The following is an 18,891-nucleotide window of genomic DNA, read 5'->3' on the forward strand; positions in this document are numbered from 1 at the left end:
TCTTGATATCTAAGTAAACACAGAAAGCACAGAAATAAAAATGGTTTATTTCATTTCCTTTCCGTTTAAGAATGGGCAATTTATCTGCTCTTGGAAAAGAGAGAGGGAATATAGAGCACTTCCACATTTTTACCTAAACAATAATTTATTGAGCAATTACTAAGGCAAAGCACTCTGTTAGGTATTTGATACTGCACGTTAAAATCAGGAACTGTATGTATTTCTGACATGAAAACTTAAAAAAATCCACCAGGTCAGAAAACCTGTCATCACCATTTTATTCCACTCACAGTCTTCTAAAGAAAAAGTCATAAAAAAAATCTATCATCAAATGTAGTCACTTGGTGAATAAACATTGCCCTAGTGTGTTTCATTGAAATTAAGACTCCATTGATTATGTGTTCCAATTTCAGACTTGCTAAAATGTGAAAAAAAGGTCACACTGAAATTTAAAAATGCCATCACTTATAAGATGCAACTCAATATTAGAGATGTTAAAATATGAAAAGATAATGTTCCTTATAGTCAGTGAAATATGGCATTGTGGTCTAAATAAAAACATAAGAATACTAACTAGAAACGTAACTGTTTTTTAGTGAGTATGTATTAAACTTTTAAACATTCTCATGCAACTGAATTGCAAGTTTTCAAAAGCAGCAACCTTCTTAGCACATGACTCGGTTTATCTAGGGCATGAGCAAACAGATATAACAACACTTAAAGCAAATAATTCATTTCCCCTATTGTGCATTTGTGTGTATATCTATGTGTGTGTAACACAGTAAAATTCAGACTTCTTTAATTATAATTCTTTTACTTCTATGAGATCTGTTACTTATACTGAAACTTATTAGTGATTATTATTTTAGCATGGGGCACAAAACTTTCTGGTATTTAAGGTCACTGTCACAAAGTAGAATTAGACATCTCATCAGAGATTTTCCCTATTCGAACTCTCAAAAACGGCAAGCTACTATTTCTGCCACTCTCTGTCATCTTACACTAGTTTTTGTGCCATTACACTTGCCACCACCTCACGTATTACATATTTATTTAATTGTTGTTAGTTTCTCCCTATTAAATTCATATTTCATGAGGGAAAGACTTTTGTTTCTATTCATTGCTGTATCCCCAGAAATTAGAACAGTACCTAGCACTAACTGGTGCTCAATAAATACTTCTCAACTGTTGAGTAAAGAAAGGCTCAGAATTTAGGAAAATTGAACAATTAAAAACAACCTAAATAAGAATAGCTATGAGAAAAAGCAATTCTTTTGGCATATACACTAAGCTGAGTATGAGAAATTTTGAGCAACCACTGAATTCATGAGAGTGGATGACTGTGTCTGTCCCTCATACATTGCGGGGATACTGGCAAACAGTAGGCACCAGAGTAAGTACTGACTGATTCAATGAAGAAACATTAGATGTCTGAAATGAGTAAGGCAGTGGTTATTTCAAATGTACCTCTTTCAGTTTTTAATCTGTCAAGGATTTCAGTTTTGTCTGTTAAGTCAGACTTCAAGGCAGTCTCGAGCTGAGCAATCTGCACTTTCAGCTGTTGCTCCTTTAACTTCCATTGCTCTTCATGGGCAGCACTGAAGGCACTGCAAAACACACGTGACATGCAAGGAAAGCTTGGAAATCAGCTTCAACCGAAAATAATAAAGAGAAAAGCTTTTAGTGGCGCAGAGACCACTGTCATCATGTCTTAGGAATTAAGTAAACATATGCTGGTCTGCTGCTGTTGAAACCAAGGCGCCTTTCTCAGGCTGCGGTTAGGGAACATGAAAGAGTTTGTGGGATGAGCAAAGGAACTGGCCTTAATTTAGAGCTCTAAAGTCAGAAAAGTTGGCAGTATGCAGCTTTTGTGGGACTAGTAAAGGAATTCAGATACTGTACATACTCCAGAGGAATCCACAATTCCAAAACTCAGCAATTGACATCGGACAAAACCATTCTCTCCCACATACAAACCTCTTAATACAGAGAAAATGGACTTTCCACCTGATCTTTAATTCTGTGAAACTTTTAAAGAGTCTGTGATAATAACACGTTCACAAAATATTGGCCACAAAATGATAGCATATTGAACCACCAGACAATACCTCCGATATTGATTAAGAAGTAGTGATAATATAGTTTTTGTTAAAAAACAAAAAACAATAGGCTAAAAACAGTTTTAGATGTAACACGATTGGAATGAAAACCAGTGCTCTGTGCCTGATAAGAATGACGAAAATAGAATTACTATTCCTCAATAAAAGTACAGCAGTTTAAACCATGGTTAAAATTTGCTAATAATCAAGACCCAGCATATCAGAAGAAAGAACTGGTTGAAAAATAACTAGACAACGTACAGAAAGTGTACAATCAACATTCGTTTATGCCAGTGGTTCCTAAACGCTGACCTAAATACTGGTAGTAGGCCAGCTGCTACGTAAGGACACTTAGGGAGATTTTAAAATGAAGATCCCAGGGCCCAGGTATTCATATTTTTAGAAAGCTCCCCAGATGATAGCCAGGTTTTGGAAAAACTGATCTTGATCTGAATTTCAGCAGAAAACCATTATCTATGAAGCTTGATATGACTGAATAATCATCAGCAGCTTTGACCATTCTATGTATTTTAAGCCCAGTAAATACAACAAAAACTTATAAAATCTTGTTTTATACGATGATGAAGTAAATGGAAAAGAAACATATTACTGGAAATTGCCCTTAATGTTGCTCCCAACTAGTCTTCAGTTTTTATCCCAAAAAAGATACTTTTCTGGGAGGCATAGCTTCTCAAAAGAGAAACATTGTGTATTCATTTCACATTTTGAATATTTTACTGCCTTTAAGATAACATGACCTTGAAAATAAATGGAATTATGGAAGCTTCTCTAAATATGACATCTGTTTCTTCTATTAGTGTTCTCATTTCACTTATGGAAACTTAACAAAATATAGGATCTATATATCAATTATTTAAGTTGATTTTATCAAAGGTACAATGACCAAGACTTTAATGAAATCCAAATAAAATATGTATTTTAAATACTAAATAATATTCCTTTTTATGTTTGTTTTTAAAATAAAGAACAAATATAATTTCTATGTATGGCCAAATTGTATATATCAAACACATCCACATATATGCATGAATGTGAGTACATCTATGTGTGTGTGTGTGTGTGTGTGTGTGTATATATATATATATGTATGTATGTATGTATATGCATGTGTCTTATTTTATTAAAAACATGTACCACCCGGAAAAAAAAATTAGCATGATGAAATAGGCACAACATACATTATATCAGATGCCAAAAATTAGAAACAGTAGTGTTCCAATAGCATTAGTACCAGCAAAAAGATCACCAACAGCTAATCTGGCAGAAACATCAGAAGCTGTATGTGTTTAAATTAAGAACAATTTAGCGGCCTGGGTTTTCCAAACCCACAAAATACTAGTGTAAATCAGCATAAGTCAATCTGAATTTAGTCCACTGCTATCTTCCCTCTAAATTTAGGATTACATTCCACTGGAGTTTCATGAGAAATTCCTTTTGAATTTACTGTATTCCGCTATGCTTAGAGCCATCTGTGTAACTATAAATGGTGAACCACATCTGGCTCCATTTTCTTTGTAAGGGCTGTACACATGATTAAATCTGCATATGAGAACAGTCTTTGAGAACTTTTTATTCATGAAAATGTTTTTGTATATTGCCTATAGTGACAACTGAAGGGGGATCATAGTTAGTCTTTGTACACATTTCACTGTTACATGATGTTGCAGGACTGATCAAATGTCAGCCTGCAGTGGAATGCCCATTGCTGCTTGTGGTCACCGGCATGTCCACTGGCAGACATGGGTCAGCAAACTGTAAATACACACCCTTGACCAAAAACATGATAAAGATCTAAATAAAGCCAAAGAGTTCATCTGCTTCCTAAGATCTTTCCTTCTACAGAAGAAACTCCATTTGTTCAATGTTCAAGGGCATCCTAATGTGAGAGACAGGAAAGAATATACTCTAAATCATCCATAAAGAAATCCACAGTGGCTGGGTACAGCGGCTCATGCCTGTAATCCCAATGCTTTGGGAGGCTGAGGCAGGAGGATGGCTTGAGCCCAGGAGTTCAAGACCAGCCTAGGAAACATAGAGAGATCCCATCTCTATAAAAAATAAAATTGAAGACCCAGTGTGGTGGCTTGTGCCTGTAATCCCAGCACTTTGGGAGGCCGAGGTGGGCAGATCACTTGAGGTCAGGAGTTCGAGACCAGCCTGGCTAACATGGGGAAACCCCACCTCTACTAAAAATACAAAAATTAGGCAGGTGTGGTGACAAACACATGTAATCCCAGCTACTCAGGAGGCTGAGACAGAAGAATCGCTTGAACCTGGGAGGCAGGGGTTGCAGTGAGCCAAGACCATGCCACTATGCTCCAGCCTGGGTGACAGGGTGAGATTCTGTCTCAAAAAAAAAATTAAAAAATAATAATAAAATTAAAAATTAGACAGGTCTTGTGGCACATGCCTGTAGTCCTAGCTACTTGGGAGGCTGAGGTGGGAGGATTGCTTGAGTCCAGGAGGTCGAGATTGCAGTGAGCTATGATTGCGCCACTGCCCTCTAGCCTGGACAACAGAGCAAGATCCTGTCTCTCTGTCTCCTTTTTTTTTTTTAAATCATAGGTACTTTATTTAGGGCCTAATGAAAATTAAATTCATATTTACATCAGGATATTTCACTTACTGAAAGAAGATGATGCCCCAAATGTACTTGGAGTTTGATTTCTGGGAAGCATAAGCTGCTCATATTTGATCACATGAGATTTTATGGTTTCTAGAAGGTTACAGGGCACAGATGCTCACTTTACAGAAACAGAACACAGAGCATCTATGGGTGTCAGTAGTGCTCTTTTACATTTTGAGAAGTAGATGACTATCACATAATAAAAACTTGATCCACCCAATTCTTAAAAAGGTTAATATCATCTTAAAAACTAGATGAATACCTTTTAAAAACAGACATTAGTGTCTCTCAAGGAGTTAATACCTCAAAATCACATTCAACAGATTTTTTTGGACCCAGTCTCAAATTAACTGAATCAGAGTTGGATGGTATGGGGGCAGAGGGAGGGGTGCAGATGGATAGGCGAAGAAGCTCTGAAGAGGTGGTGAAATCTACATTTTAATAAGTTTTCCAGGTTATTTGCATACATTATAGTTTAGGAACCATTGCATTTATCAGTTACATGGCCCCAACACTAACTAACTTCAAAAGTGAAGCACAGCATTACTAAATTATAGCATACTAATATAATACTGTATTACATACCACAGTATAGAGTTTCTCTCTGACCCAACAGAAAGATATAATTGCAAAAAATGTATTCTCAACTTTTAAATTGAACATTTATTAAAGTTATACTTACTTCTTGGCAGTGTATCAAAAGTGTTTTAGCATATTAAAAAATGCTCATACTAAAAAGTAACATGAGGGTTTTATCTTCCCACATGATTCTCTAATATGTCATATGTCAAGTAATAAACACATTCAAAATTTATTTGAAAAAGAAAGATGAGAATGCAAACTGCAAATCATATTTTTCTCCTGAAAACTAGTCAATTTTGAATAACAAACAAATGCTGTCCTTTTAAAAACATGTTATCATTATGACTAAGCAAACAGGGAGTATGTGCAGTTTTTGATGAACATTAGTTGTTGGCAATAACGAATAACAGTGTCATGAAACAAAAGAGCTGTAAAGAATCTGAGAGACAATGTAGACTTTTGTCGAATTTCTCCAACTATACTTCTAAAATGTATCATATATTTCAAAAACATTATATTAGAGAATTCTGTAGTTCTGTTGACTATTATGTGTGTTTGCTGGGTTTTGTGCTTATGTTACATTAATTTTTCTTTTGACATTAAATGTTTTGACACTCATTACACACATTTACTTCCATATATCTCACATAAACTTCACGTGTGAGCAGCATAACGAAGTCTGCTTTTAGTGTGACAGGAAAAAAATGTTAGTGCAAGCATAAAACATTGAAAAAAAAAAACCCTTCAAATTTATACTCTTAGATCATCTTCTAATATGGAAAGATAAAGTTTTATGGTGGGAAAGTAAATATGAGAAAAACATGACTTTCTCAAAATTTCGTTTATACATTATTCCCAGGTAAGTTTGATTTTTTTTATTCCAAGTAAGTATGTTCAGCAAATTTTCAAACTGGGGAGAAGTAGAAAATTTGGAAGTAATGGCCATATGGCACTATTTTCTTCTATTTAGACTGTGTAAATTATTTGAAATTACAAGATACTGAAGACATATGTAAATCAGTAAGAATTTCTGGATGTATAACAGTTCTGTTATTCCATGAATGTTTCCCTTCCACATATGCAATTTTCCAATGCAATTAAAATCAGATAGTGAAGCATAACAAAAAAAGAATTCAAGTTTTAGAGTTTAAAAAAATCTGGGTTTTAGTTCTAAACTAGAGTCTCAGCAATGCTGTGTGACTCTGCACAAGTCTTAATTTTTCTGGAATCCCAATTTCCTCATTTATAAAAGAGGGATGATATCTTCTCTAATAGGGTACTGTGCAATTTGTATACTGACATTTAAACTTTTCAAACACACATATGATTTTAACTGGTGTCTGAACCTACTGTTGGTAACCCTTAATATAATCAGTCACTGTACAAAGATAGTCCCAAGTAGGTAAATAACATAGATGATACAAACTACTGAAATAATGCCTATGTTAATTTAGGTAACTTTCCAGAAGTAAATCAAAATAAAAGCCTATCCCCACACTCCTTGGGTATAATTTGTTTAATTTACAAAATGTAAATTTAATTTATAAAAAATAAGACAAAGAGCTAAAAAGTTAAAGATGCACTTGTAGCTCAAATGGTTATTTTCTGAGGTTTCAGCACATGACCAGAAGTAGTAGCTGTTGAATATCAGCTATAACATATGTATTTAAGTATATATTACATTTGCTTTCATGTAAACCTGTATTTATCATTTATCAGTATCATATACTAAAAAGACTTAAAATTACACACACAGACACACACACACACAGATATCTGTATCACTTAACCAAACTTAGATGTGGGGTATAATTTTGTTTCTAATACTACCAGAAGGGATTAATTTCTAAAATACCATAATTATGAAGTAGATTAAGAAACAAAATTGAAGCAGCCCTTTAAAATGTATCTTGAGATAAAGATGCTTGTGTTTCTCTTTATAAGGAACAGAGACAATTGTAAGTGGACACCTTTGCTTTTCCCTAACAGAATAACTCTCAGTTAATAAGCTGGGGAGTCTAAGAAAGAGACCAAAAGAGGTTCAAACACAAGCTCTATTACTTTATACATTTAAAAGGTATGGGCTGGGCGCAGTGGCTCACCCCTGTAATCTCAGCACTTTCGGAGGCTGAGGCAGGAGGATCACTTGAGCCCAGGAGTTCAAGATCAGCCTGAGCAACATAGAAAGAACTCGTCACTACCAAAAAATTAAAAAAATTAGTCTGACATGGTGGCATGTGCCTGTGGTCCCAGTTGCTCAGGCTGCTGAGGTGGGAGGATTGTTTGAGCCCAGGAAGTTGAGGCTGCAGTGAGCCATGATTGTGCCACTGCACTCCAGCTTGGGTGACTGAGACACTGTCTCAAAAAAAAGAGGTGGGAAGTGCCTCTTAATGTTACTTAATTTTGCTTCATCTTCCTTGTCTGCAAAATGGGAATTTGTAATACATACATTTCAGGGTGCTGTGAACAATTTATAACAATAAATGTAGAGTATCTAGCATGGTGTCTGTTAGTTTATAGTTAGTGTTCAATAAATGATAGCAGTTTACTGGCAACAAAGTGATATGGTTTTCTTAGTAGTGATAGGCTACTGCTCAGGTTAAATAACTTATTACAATGCCTTTAAAAAGCTTGTATTTCCTTTATACAGTTTGCATATTTCTTGCTATCATTTGTTGCTAATTCTTTGATCAACATGATCTATTCTGACAACAGCAAATGCTTACATATAAAAGAGCTCAAACAAGACAATGAAAGAACACATGGAATCACGATTTACCTGTCATAAAGTTTATCATAGTTTTCCTTTAAAAGTTCCCGTTCCTTTTCTAAATCATTAATTCTATCCTGCAGCTAAAATGAAAATAAAATTACATATTAAGTAAATATTATATAAAACCACTTGGGGGTAAAAAAAAACATTAAAAAACTCTATATGAGAGAAGGTTAACATGTTTTAATCTCGATTGCTAAATGGTAGCTGCTAACCAGACCACTTATATTGTCTGCATTTAAGTCAGCATTGATTTTTCCCAAGTTGTTAAATAAACGTGAAATTAATATTCCTGTTTTAATTTAGTAGAAACGTATGCACTGCTTTATGCAACATGTGCCAGAAGTCATTAAAGAATATGTTAAGAGCTTGCTAAGTCCCGGGAAACATAGTATTTTTTACTTTTCACCATGATAACTTCTGTCATTATATTCATTTTGTATTAATTTACAATTAGCCCATAAAGAATTAAAAGAGTTAACTTTTTTTTAGGTTCATGGTTCAAATTGTGTTGTTAATCACAATTTACTCTGAAGATACAATTTCTCACATTATCTGAAATTTATAAATAGCTACTAGCACCTTTTGTGAATAAATGAATAAACAAACTTACATACTGTTTTAGCCCATGAACAGTATTTTCAGAAATAAACGGAGTAATAATTACATCCCTATGGCTAAAATGTAGATTTCTGTACTCTAGTATTTATTTTTAAGTTTTATTCATAAGTATATTTTGCAGTCACAACTTTTTCCTGTGGATCAGATTACTCTTTATTTCCATTTTCAGAATTCTCTTTTGATGCTAGTATGAGACAGTAAAAGATTCTCCCAAGATCAGAACAGAATGCAGGCATCTTATTTCACTTCCATTCTCCTTGGGAACAAACTTAACAGGCTACATAAAATACTACGATAATAGGAAGATGAGTTTTCAAAGAACTCTCTAAAAAAATTAGATAATTTCACAAAATTACTGATAATGCAGAATACAACAGCCATCTCCTCAGAAACAGATACAGTCCTGTTATTTTGTTTCAGTATCTCAAATGATTAATAAGCTGTTACAGTTGAGAAAGTTAAGTTCCATAGGTAATCTGGCATCAGTTTCAAAATGCTGGTTTCATTTTACTCAAGGATCTTTAATCCTTTGGGTAAACAGTGGATCTTGCCACATTTGCAAGTACAGTTAAACACTGATTTGCCATTCATATATTAACAACTATATTTTGCTGTGCTCAAAACACCATGTACATAACTTATAATTTTAAATAAGTACAATTTTGAAATATCTCTATTTTACTTTTTCAAAACAGTTACCAAGAAGTTGTAATGCAACAGATGGCTAAACTCTTTGGGAGCTTACCTCTTCTATTCTTCTTTCAGAAAACTTCATAGAATGTAATTGTTTCTCAAGACTGCAGCATTTTAAACGCTGCTCTTTAAGTTGCATGTTTAATTCATCCCCATTTGCCATCAAAGCATCGTGGCTGATTCTGAGAGTTCTTTGCTTCTAAAAGATAAAAAGAACATCTTTCAAACATTATTTTTGACTAAATGATTAAATTTGACTAAATGATTTGACTAAATGATTACAATTCTATAAATGAATTTACTCCCGAAGTTCACCTTATACAGATTATTTTTTACATAACAAATGATGTATACGTGCTACTTATCCGTAGGAGACGCTCTGAACATGTGTGTGACATGAGGAAGAAAATACAGGGTTATCTTAGCATAGAGTCACATATTTTATTTCCTCCTAGTTTTTGACTTATTGATGGTGACCAGCAAGTAAATTCATTTTAACAATAACTTTTTTTCTTTTTGCTGTGGTTACATTGGTTGGACATGCTGTCTAAAAATGCTGTAGCATGGGTCAAAAATGCTGACCACAGATATTCGAACTGAAGGGATTCGCTGCCACATCGTATAAACAGCCTTGGATGGTCAGCTTTTAATTTGCATACAATTAAGTTAAAATTTCCAATTTAGTAAAAGTTATGAACTTTTCTTAATTTTTCAAAAATGGTCTATTTATGACCATGCTGTAAATTCAATTTTATATACTTTAATGTCACATAGTTTTTTTTTAAAATAAAAAAAGGTAAAGTCTTTTCATATAGACCATATAACCATAGCATGCAATGCCTCACCTGCTAACTTAAATCTCTCAAGTCCCACTGAAGTTTTTTTTCACTCATTTAAATGACACATGGCTATTGAGCCATTCAGGTCAATTTTCGTTTATCTTGGTATTATTATAGAACAGTATCTTCAGCCACCTTTTTCTAGGCTCCACACTTCACTGAGGCTGTTGGGCTTAACCTCTCAATTTTTTACCCTATGTCAACTTCCAAAAGAGCTGCCTGTACTACAGCAGACACCTGTTATTGTTGGTATTTAAACTAATACCTGGGTTCACTGTTAAATAGAAATCAAAATTGTCAAAGTGATAAGAGAATGTAAAATCATTTTTCAATTCCTTTCTTAATTCTTAATCTTAGAAATGGCTTTCAACTACAGGGATTTTTAAAATTTCCTTCTTCTAACATCTGTAGATAGCACTATCATTCTCACTCTCTCATCAGTCTCCTTTTACAAACTCTCATATTTATGCAGAAGTAATTACCACTTGGCATTTAAAGAGGTTCCTGCAGGATGGAAAACAAAATCCCCAGAGCATGGCTGAAAAATATTTAACTATTGAATTCAACAGTGAATTTAGGCTTCAGATGACCCTTTGCTTTGCATCAATCTACTGCCCTCCTTGTCTCGGGACTTCAAAGAAAGTGTTACTTCACATAAATTCTGCTCAACTGGAATGTCTTGGAGTTCATTAATTCCAGAACCTATGTTAATTATGCAGTGCCAACAAATAGAAGCCCTCAGATGGCATATTCCTGTGGGGTCACAGTCCTTGTTAAAACAACCATGGGCATAAAGAATCCCAAGTATTGTCAACCTGAAGGGTTAAGGTTTAAAATAAATACACTGATAGTTGACGTTAAGAGTAATCAAATATTTTCAGGTAATGGTAGTGACCAAAAAAGAAAAAAAAATTCAAATAAAAGAAAGTTTTAACAGAACATGATTACTGACCTATTCATTACTTTGGTCTATTGCCAATAATTTTATAAATGCTTAAAATTGAAGATATATGCAAATATGGCAAAACTTCAGTGCTATGTGTCCATAATAAATTCAGATAAAAGGAGTTAAAAATAAATTTCCTTGGTAGAAGATAATTTATAATAAATATGGTTATTATTTTAAGATGACACAGATATTTATAAAAAGTCCAAGCAGTTAATTATTTCTTTAGTGCTTGAGTTATAAATAATAAACAATATATTAAGGGAAATGATACACATTTGTGAATACAAAGAACAATCCTTCAAAATTATGTTCTAGTGTTATGATAATTCCATGTTAAAAAAACAACTTGAATACTACTTTTGAATCCTTTGCATCTCTGTAACATTGTAATAAAATAAATTATCACTGTACCTCTTGAAGCTGAATAAATTTTCCTTCCATTGCTGAAAGAGCATTGCTTTTCTCTACTAGCTGTTTATGAAGCTTAATCATTTCTACATTGTCCCGAATATTTGACCTTCAGAGTTGTGTTTAAGAAAAAGAGAGACAGAAGTAAAAAACGCAAGTTAGAAGAAAATCTATGGTGGAATCACAATTTTTCAACTAATGTTACATAGAAAATATTTATATACTTGTACATCAGTCAATGAGGTTTTTGGATTATTATAAATGCAGGACAGATTAATTATTTAAAACAAACCAATAATCATTCCTGAACTTTCATAACCTTGAACTCACAAAGTTTGAAGGGAGCCCCCAAACTTCATGACTATGTCACCTCTACAATTGATAATATGGATTTAAAATCATTTTATAGTATCCTGAAAGATGGCACAGAAACACAATAGTTTTTAGTATAGCAATGGTACCATTACCGAACTTCACACTTATTTTAAGGAGGACTATCACGCTACTTTTCCCTAAATGAAAAATATGCAATACAGCCATTCATCTTTCTACAACTCTCTCGACGCAAATGGCATCATAAGATTACCATTTATTGGAGTTTCCTCTTGGAGTTTTAAACTTTTCAAAATATTTGCAAAAAAAGTGACTTAGCATTTTATACTAACAATGTCCAAAGCTGGCATTTAAATATGTTGCAGATGTGCCTTTAGCTGTAAGAGATCACTTGATGTCCACAGGGTATATAGAAACCTTATATGTTACAATACTATTTTGTATTTTTCCTACTGAGATTAAAGCAAATGTAGAATTTAACAGGAAGATCTTGTTAAAGGTTAATCATAGATCTAAATGAGTACCTGTTTTCAAAAGGCATTTATTTTCTTGACAGAGAAAAGTTCCTTAATTTAATACATTTTATATTAAAAAATATTTTGTTAATTTTGAAGCTTCATTTCAGAGTTCACTTTTAGGAAAAATAAATGTAAAAAATTTAAAATCAGAGTTCAATATTTAAAGTAAGAGATTTTACTTTTAAAACTTATCTAGTGTACACATATTGGAAAAATTGTCATAATGCCCTACTGGAACCAGAAAATGGACTACAAAGCTCACACATCTGTAAACCAGCTGAGGACTTGAAATACTTAATTTTCCTCTTTGATATTTGAAAGTTCATTGTATTTTGGCATTGGACAGTTAGTTGTCCTCACACAGAAGATAAACAAAACCATGAATCCAAATTTTGCCCAGGGTACAGTCTTAACACAATGTTAAAATAATTATATGTCTAAAACATGTTATCTAGTAGTTCTGAGCACATATTCAACAATATACTCACTAATATTCACTCAGTATTACCTTTAGCCACTAAAAATACATATATATATAATATAAAGAGAAAAATACATCTTAAAGTCTAAAGAAAATATTCTTTTTTTCATATTTAGAAGCCAAAATATAATTTACTTATTTGCCCCAGAATTACCTGGTTTGACCACTCAGCAGTGAATGACATTTATTGATATGTAAGGACAGAATGTGATTCAAATAATTTAAAATCTTTTCATATATTTCCAGTTGTCTCTGATATTTTATTTTTGTTTTAAAGTATGATAATTTATTTATTTATTTTTTTTTGAGACGGAGACTTGCTCTGTCACCCAGGCTGGAGTGTAGTGGCGCGATCTCGGCTACTGCAACCTCCGCCTCCTGGTTTCAAGCGATTCTCCTGCCTCAGCTTCCTGAGTAGCAGGGACTACAGGCGCGTGCCACCATGCACAGCTGATTTTTTTGTATTTTTAGTAGAGACGGGTTTTCACTGTGTTAGCCAGGATGGTTTCGATCTCCTGACCTCATAATCCACCCGCCTCGGCCTCCCAAAGTGCTGGGATTACAGGTGTGAGCCACTGTACCCGGCCGCAGTATGTTGATACTTTTAAGAAAATTAAGATATATTTGAATAATAACCATTAATTACAGTAACACAATTAAATCTCTATAATCCATTCGGGCACATAGGGTGATAGAAATAACAGTTTTTAATTTTAAATTTTTTTGTAAGGCAGAAACCAGTAAGCATATGTCAAAAACTTTCAGTGGTTTAATCGGTGGGTGCTTTCCTGAATATTTTCCTAAACTCCTTGGAGTTTAAACTTTTCAAAATACTGCCAAAAACAGTGACAGGGCATTTTAAACTGGTAATGGCCAACAGGTAGGTATAAATACAACTTACGTAGTATTTAGACAACAGCAGTAATGTACTTTAAACAATACCTTAAGTAACAACGTGGTATAATAATGTTGTACTTCAAATAAAAAGTCAGTTTGCTGCAGAGTACACCTTTCCTGGGACAATGCTAAACTTGTAAGTCTTTAATAATTACTTTTACGTATCAGTTTTAGGGACTTTATTATTATGACTTTATTTTTTTTTCATGTAACAATGAGAAGAGGAGGATAATCTGTTAAACTAAAAGTGCTAGGTCAGTGATAACATAAAAGTTCAAATCAGCAATGTGATAAATGTGGTCTAGCCTTTAAGAAGATGTGCAATAAAAATTACTTCAAACCTGACAATCAACTCAACATTTTTATATAGACGAAATATGGTACAAGAATAATGGGAGGAAGTAAGAGAGAAAGAGGGAGAGAGATGTCACAAAAAGATGACAAGAAATGTGAGAAGGATGTTGTAGGCAACACGGAGCTAGGGTGTTTAGCTAAGTGACCAGTCCTAGACCTCTGTGCTTGTGGAGCAAGGCCTCAGGTTGGTATTTGAAGAATAGACTTAGGGCTAATTTTATGAGTAATATTTTAAGTGACCTCCACACAATATTTTTTTGCCCTCTTCTACACACTATGACAGGAATACCAAATCTTCAGGATGATGACATTCTAACAGAAAGAATAATGCATGGTAAAAACATTCAGACATTCGGATGAACTCTGACAGTCATGGACCAAATCACACATGCTGCATTACACATGGTGAAATGATCTGCAAACAGATATCAAGCATACTAATTAAGTGCTTTGTAAAAATAAATTTCTCAAAATTTTCATCAAGGATTTTGAAAAAGTCAGGAATGATTAAGTTGGAAAATGCAGTTTCTTTTCTCTTTCCTTTTTTTTTTTAAAAAAACCATGATTTTAAATTATGATCAAATCTTATAAAACTATGAGAAGAGTTGCTGGCCCATCTCTAGATTAAGAACAAACTGAAATAAATTAGATTTCATGTCCAAAAAAAAGTAATCCAGCTCAACAACCTGTGTGCCAAGTTTCTCTCATATAATTTGAAACAGTCAAGCAATAAACTCTGAAAAAGGAATTTCTAATGGAAGCCTTGAAAACACTTGACTCCAGCTTTGCTACTGGGTGCCATAATAAATCCAGAAACCTAAAACCTCAGATACACTGGAGAAGTAAAAACTTTCAGCGGAGCTATGTAATGTATAGTCTAATATGAAAGCTTAAGAAGCAAAAACTTTGCTCCAGTGAAAGTTTCATATACTTTATTCCCCAGGCATTCAATTCCCCTCCCCCACCCTTTGCCAACATTTCATTCCTTGCTACCATATTATGAAAGCTAAAAAAAAGCTTCCTGAATTTTTGAGATAAAAATGTCATAGTATTTAACGTCATTTAGAAGAGAAGGCTTTAAAACACAAAAGCTAGGCTATGAGATTCGGGGAAGTAGTTAGGTCAAATATTTACGACACAGAATGGAGAGACTGTTTTGAGTAATAGTTACAGGCTGACCAAATTTGGGGCATAAGGTTGAAAACAACCTTAGGGTTAAAAAAAGCACTCTAGATTTTCTTTTCAAACAGTGGCAGACATTCTGTAGCTGTATTGTTGAAGGAAATGTAGGTCATTCATAGTTTTTATTAGGGATACACAGATAACAATCAGCAGCAAGGCTATCCCCTATGACTAGGGCTACAGAAGGCTGCTAGTAAACTGAATAGAATAAGCTTCACTAAAATAGCTGAGGAAAGTCTATTTGAAAGATAATGATTTTGCTCAAAATTGCTACTTGACTTCATAGGTGAAAACAGTGCTCTCTGATTTAAGATTGCTCAAAGGAAAAAAACTGTCTGTGTATATTTATTTGCCTCTGAATCATTACTTTCCTGTGGTGTTGGGTCAAACTATAAATCAGAACTCAGTATTTTCTTACTCTTACCACCCACAGGAATGGAGGGGACAGTTTTGTCAGCTCTCTACATGCATAAAATCACACTCAGTGGAAGGGTACTCCCAAAGGCTGGTTGGGAACAGGAAGAACTCAAATCCTGGCTCATCTTCTTATAGGGACCATTTTTACGGTCAAGTTTAATGGATTCCAACTTGAGATTTACAGTAAAAGAAATGGGAATCTGATTTTTTTTTCCTTTTTTTTTTAGATGGAGTCTCACTCTGTCACCGACGATGGAGTGCAGTGTCGTGATCTCGGCTCACTGCACCCTCTGCCTCCTGGTTCAAGTGATTCTCCTGCCTCAGCCTCCGGAGTAGCTGGGACTACAGGCATGTGCCACCACACCTGGCAGGAATCTGAACCTTACAGTCAATATTTCAGAAAGCCCAATAAGAAACATACATTTACTGGCAATGAAGTTGCAAAACTGAACTAATGGTTTTGTGTTGTTTTCATTTCTTGATAGAATTGTGCCAATCCAGTGTCATAACGCAGGTTATTTAACAATTAGCAGAAGGAGGGATTGGCATGATACAGGTCTCTTTGAGGAATACAAACAGCTAATTTAGTAGGCCAAATCTTTCTGAACACAAGGTCCCTAGAGAGAAAAACAGCTGTTGTTTAAAGGCAGGGAATCATTTACCCATTTCAATCTAATCATTTTACAGTTCAGGTGGTTAACTGAGGCTCACAGAAGTAAAGAATTTGGCCAGAGACCTTAAGTAATGGAAACAACACTCAAATCTCGCTCTAAGAGTTAAATTCTTCCCACTCTTCAAAGTTAAATTCTTCCCACTCTTCTAAGTTTTTTCCTCTAAGATCTTCCTAAGTTTTAACTTTCCCTCCACTATCATGCATACACTCATATACTAGTAACTATTATCTGTGACAATTTCTGTGGTTTGTATAAAGTGGCAGGAGGCTATGTTAAGTCACTATCAAGGAAATATCTTAATGTTAATAATAAAAACATGAGGATAAAAGAAATGGTATTTCAGTGTGAAAATTTTCATTGGGTGAATTCTAAACTGTTCAAAATAACAGTCAGAGCATGGTGAATATATTTTAAAAAATGACAGATCACTCCCCTGTGTAACAAGGTCTGCATGGCTATCCCTGGTCCCAGTTACCCCTCCATCAGAGAACCAGATGTGCCCTTTAAATTAGGGGGTTGGGCAATCAGGCAAATCCAAACTGAGGGACATTCTGCATACAACTGTCAATGGGCTATAAAAGAGTGGGGGACCATTTGAGAACAAAGGATATTTAGAAGACATGATAACTAAATGCAACAACACGTGACCCTCGACTGGATCCTAGATCAAAAGAAAATAAAACAACAACAGCTATTACAAAAAGACCAAGCTGCAAAAGACATTATTGGGACAATTGGGGAAATTTGGATATGGACTGTGTATTAGATGCTGTGGCTGTATCATTCATTGTTAAGTGTTCTGAATGTGATAGCTGTATTGTGGTTATGTAGGAGGATGTCCTTGTTCCTAGAAGATACTTACCCGTAACTGTACAGAGGGTGAAGTGATGTATGCACCTAATGGGAGTAAGGAAGGGAGAGAGGTGAAGAGAAGGGAAGTGAGGAATGAGTGAAGAGAAGAGAGAGAGGGAGGGAGAAGGAGAAATAGGAGGGAAGAGGAGATGAGAGATGTTGAGAGAAGAAAACAGGCTGAGTGAAAGAAGGCTTAAGCAAGAGCAGGCCGAGTGCAAAAACAGGCTTGTTGTACCATTCAAAAAATATGCTAAGGGGTGAAAGGTTATGTGAGTGCTCACTCAACTATTCTTTCCATTTTTCTGAAGGTTTGCAATTTCTCAAAATGAAAAGTTGGGCATAACCTAGAGTGCTAGAAAGTAATCTTGTATCTGTGCAGAGGGGAAAGAGTGAGCCCTGAAAGCCAAGGCATGGCGCAAAAGGCCTCTCTGTTGCGAGATTTGACAGTCGGCTGTCCGCCAAAGGGAAGGCAAGTCAGAGTGTCTGAGATACTTATGGGTTAAATTTCCTCCACTGGGACATTATGGCAGTTACATGATTTCTAATTAAGAAGGTAAACACCCTAACATTTATTTTAAAAAAACACTTAGTACAAACTAGTTACACATTTGTAAGAGTATAAATATTTTTGGAGTTGAAAAAGGTCAGTAAATGGTAAAATCATTCTGATTTTAACGTTCATGTACATGTGTTCACTGGTTACTGCTTTGAATTTAATTTAAGACGGCCTTTTTAATAAGCAGAAAATGTGCATTTTTATATTGTTTAAATTTAATATGGATTTTTCTTCAAAACAACACAGACATTCAGGCTACTTGTAAATGATATAAGATTTTTTGCTAATGAGGCATTATGTAGAACATATGCAAAAATCACAACTCACTCTCCCAAAATAGACCACAACAACAGGAAAAAACATGATTTTAATAAAAAAGAGCAGCACTGGGCTTTGACTTCAAAGCAATTAAGGGCTTTGGATAACCAAAAGTTTATGTCAAGCTGATGCCAAACCAAACTGGTCTATTAAACACATACTATGAAGAGTTTCTGTAATATTCTATGAAAAGGCTCTTTGCCATAAATATCAAGCACTGCCACTCTGAAGATTACAACTACGTTAGGTTCATGTTTGAGAACAAGGAGTCCAACATCCAGATCAGACTTCTAGAATTTCAAATCTGAAATAATGTATCCGTGAAAGAAAAGTTTAAATATGTTTCCCATTTTGTGATTTTTCTCTACAGTAAATTATACCAAGTTTTATATTCTCCCTAACATTTTTTTCAATAGTTTTCCATTAGTCTCAAAAAAATTGCTGTTACATATAAAATTATAAGCTATGTGTAAACATTTAAAAAAGGCATTGAACATCCTTATTTTAAGCTATTTCCTCAATTTCAACAACTGTATTTCAAGCAACAATATGCTATTCACTATAGGTATCTTTCCTTCTAAGCAAATAACATGTAAATTTTCAATTTTATAAGATCAAGTGAGGTAGGGTACACACTGATTTATTTCTCTGGTCTCTGCAATAAAAGTTCCTTTGCCTGTAATAGCCATTTTGTCTCT

The 18,891-nt window shown here is 34.3% G+C and overlaps 1 protein-coding gene across 28 annotated transcripts in view; it reads right to left on the reverse strand.

Moving 5' to 3' along the window:
* Window positions 1–18,891, reverse strand: part of RPGRIP1L (RPGRIP1 like) — a 105,707-nt gene that overhangs the window by 65,250 nt on the left and 21,566 nt on the right. For all 28 annotated transcript variants that reach the window (XR_007064862.1, XR_007064860.1, XR_933260.4 and 25 more), the window contains exons 7-10: window positions 11,615–11,720; window positions 9,468–9,614; window positions 8,108–8,181; window positions 1,468–1,607 (exon numbers count right to left, since the gene is read on the reverse strand). Coding sequence is in view for 24 of the 28 variants with exons in the window: in NM_001127897.4 (NP_001121369.1) it covers window positions 1,468–1,607; window positions 8,108–8,181; window positions 9,468–9,614; window positions 11,615–11,720 (467 nt within the window). In the remaining 4 variants the exon portion in view is untranslated. The remainder of the gene's footprint in view (window positions 1–1,467; window positions 1,608–8,107; window positions 8,182–9,467; window positions 9,615–11,614; window positions 11,721–18,891) is intronic.

This window comes from Homo sapiens, chromosome 16 (genome assembly GCF_000001405.40).
Source record: "Homo sapiens chromosome 16, GRCh38.p14 Primary Assembly".
In the NCBI taxonomy this organism is placed as follows: Eukaryota; Metazoa; Chordata; class Mammalia; order Primates; family Hominidae; genus Homo; species Homo sapiens.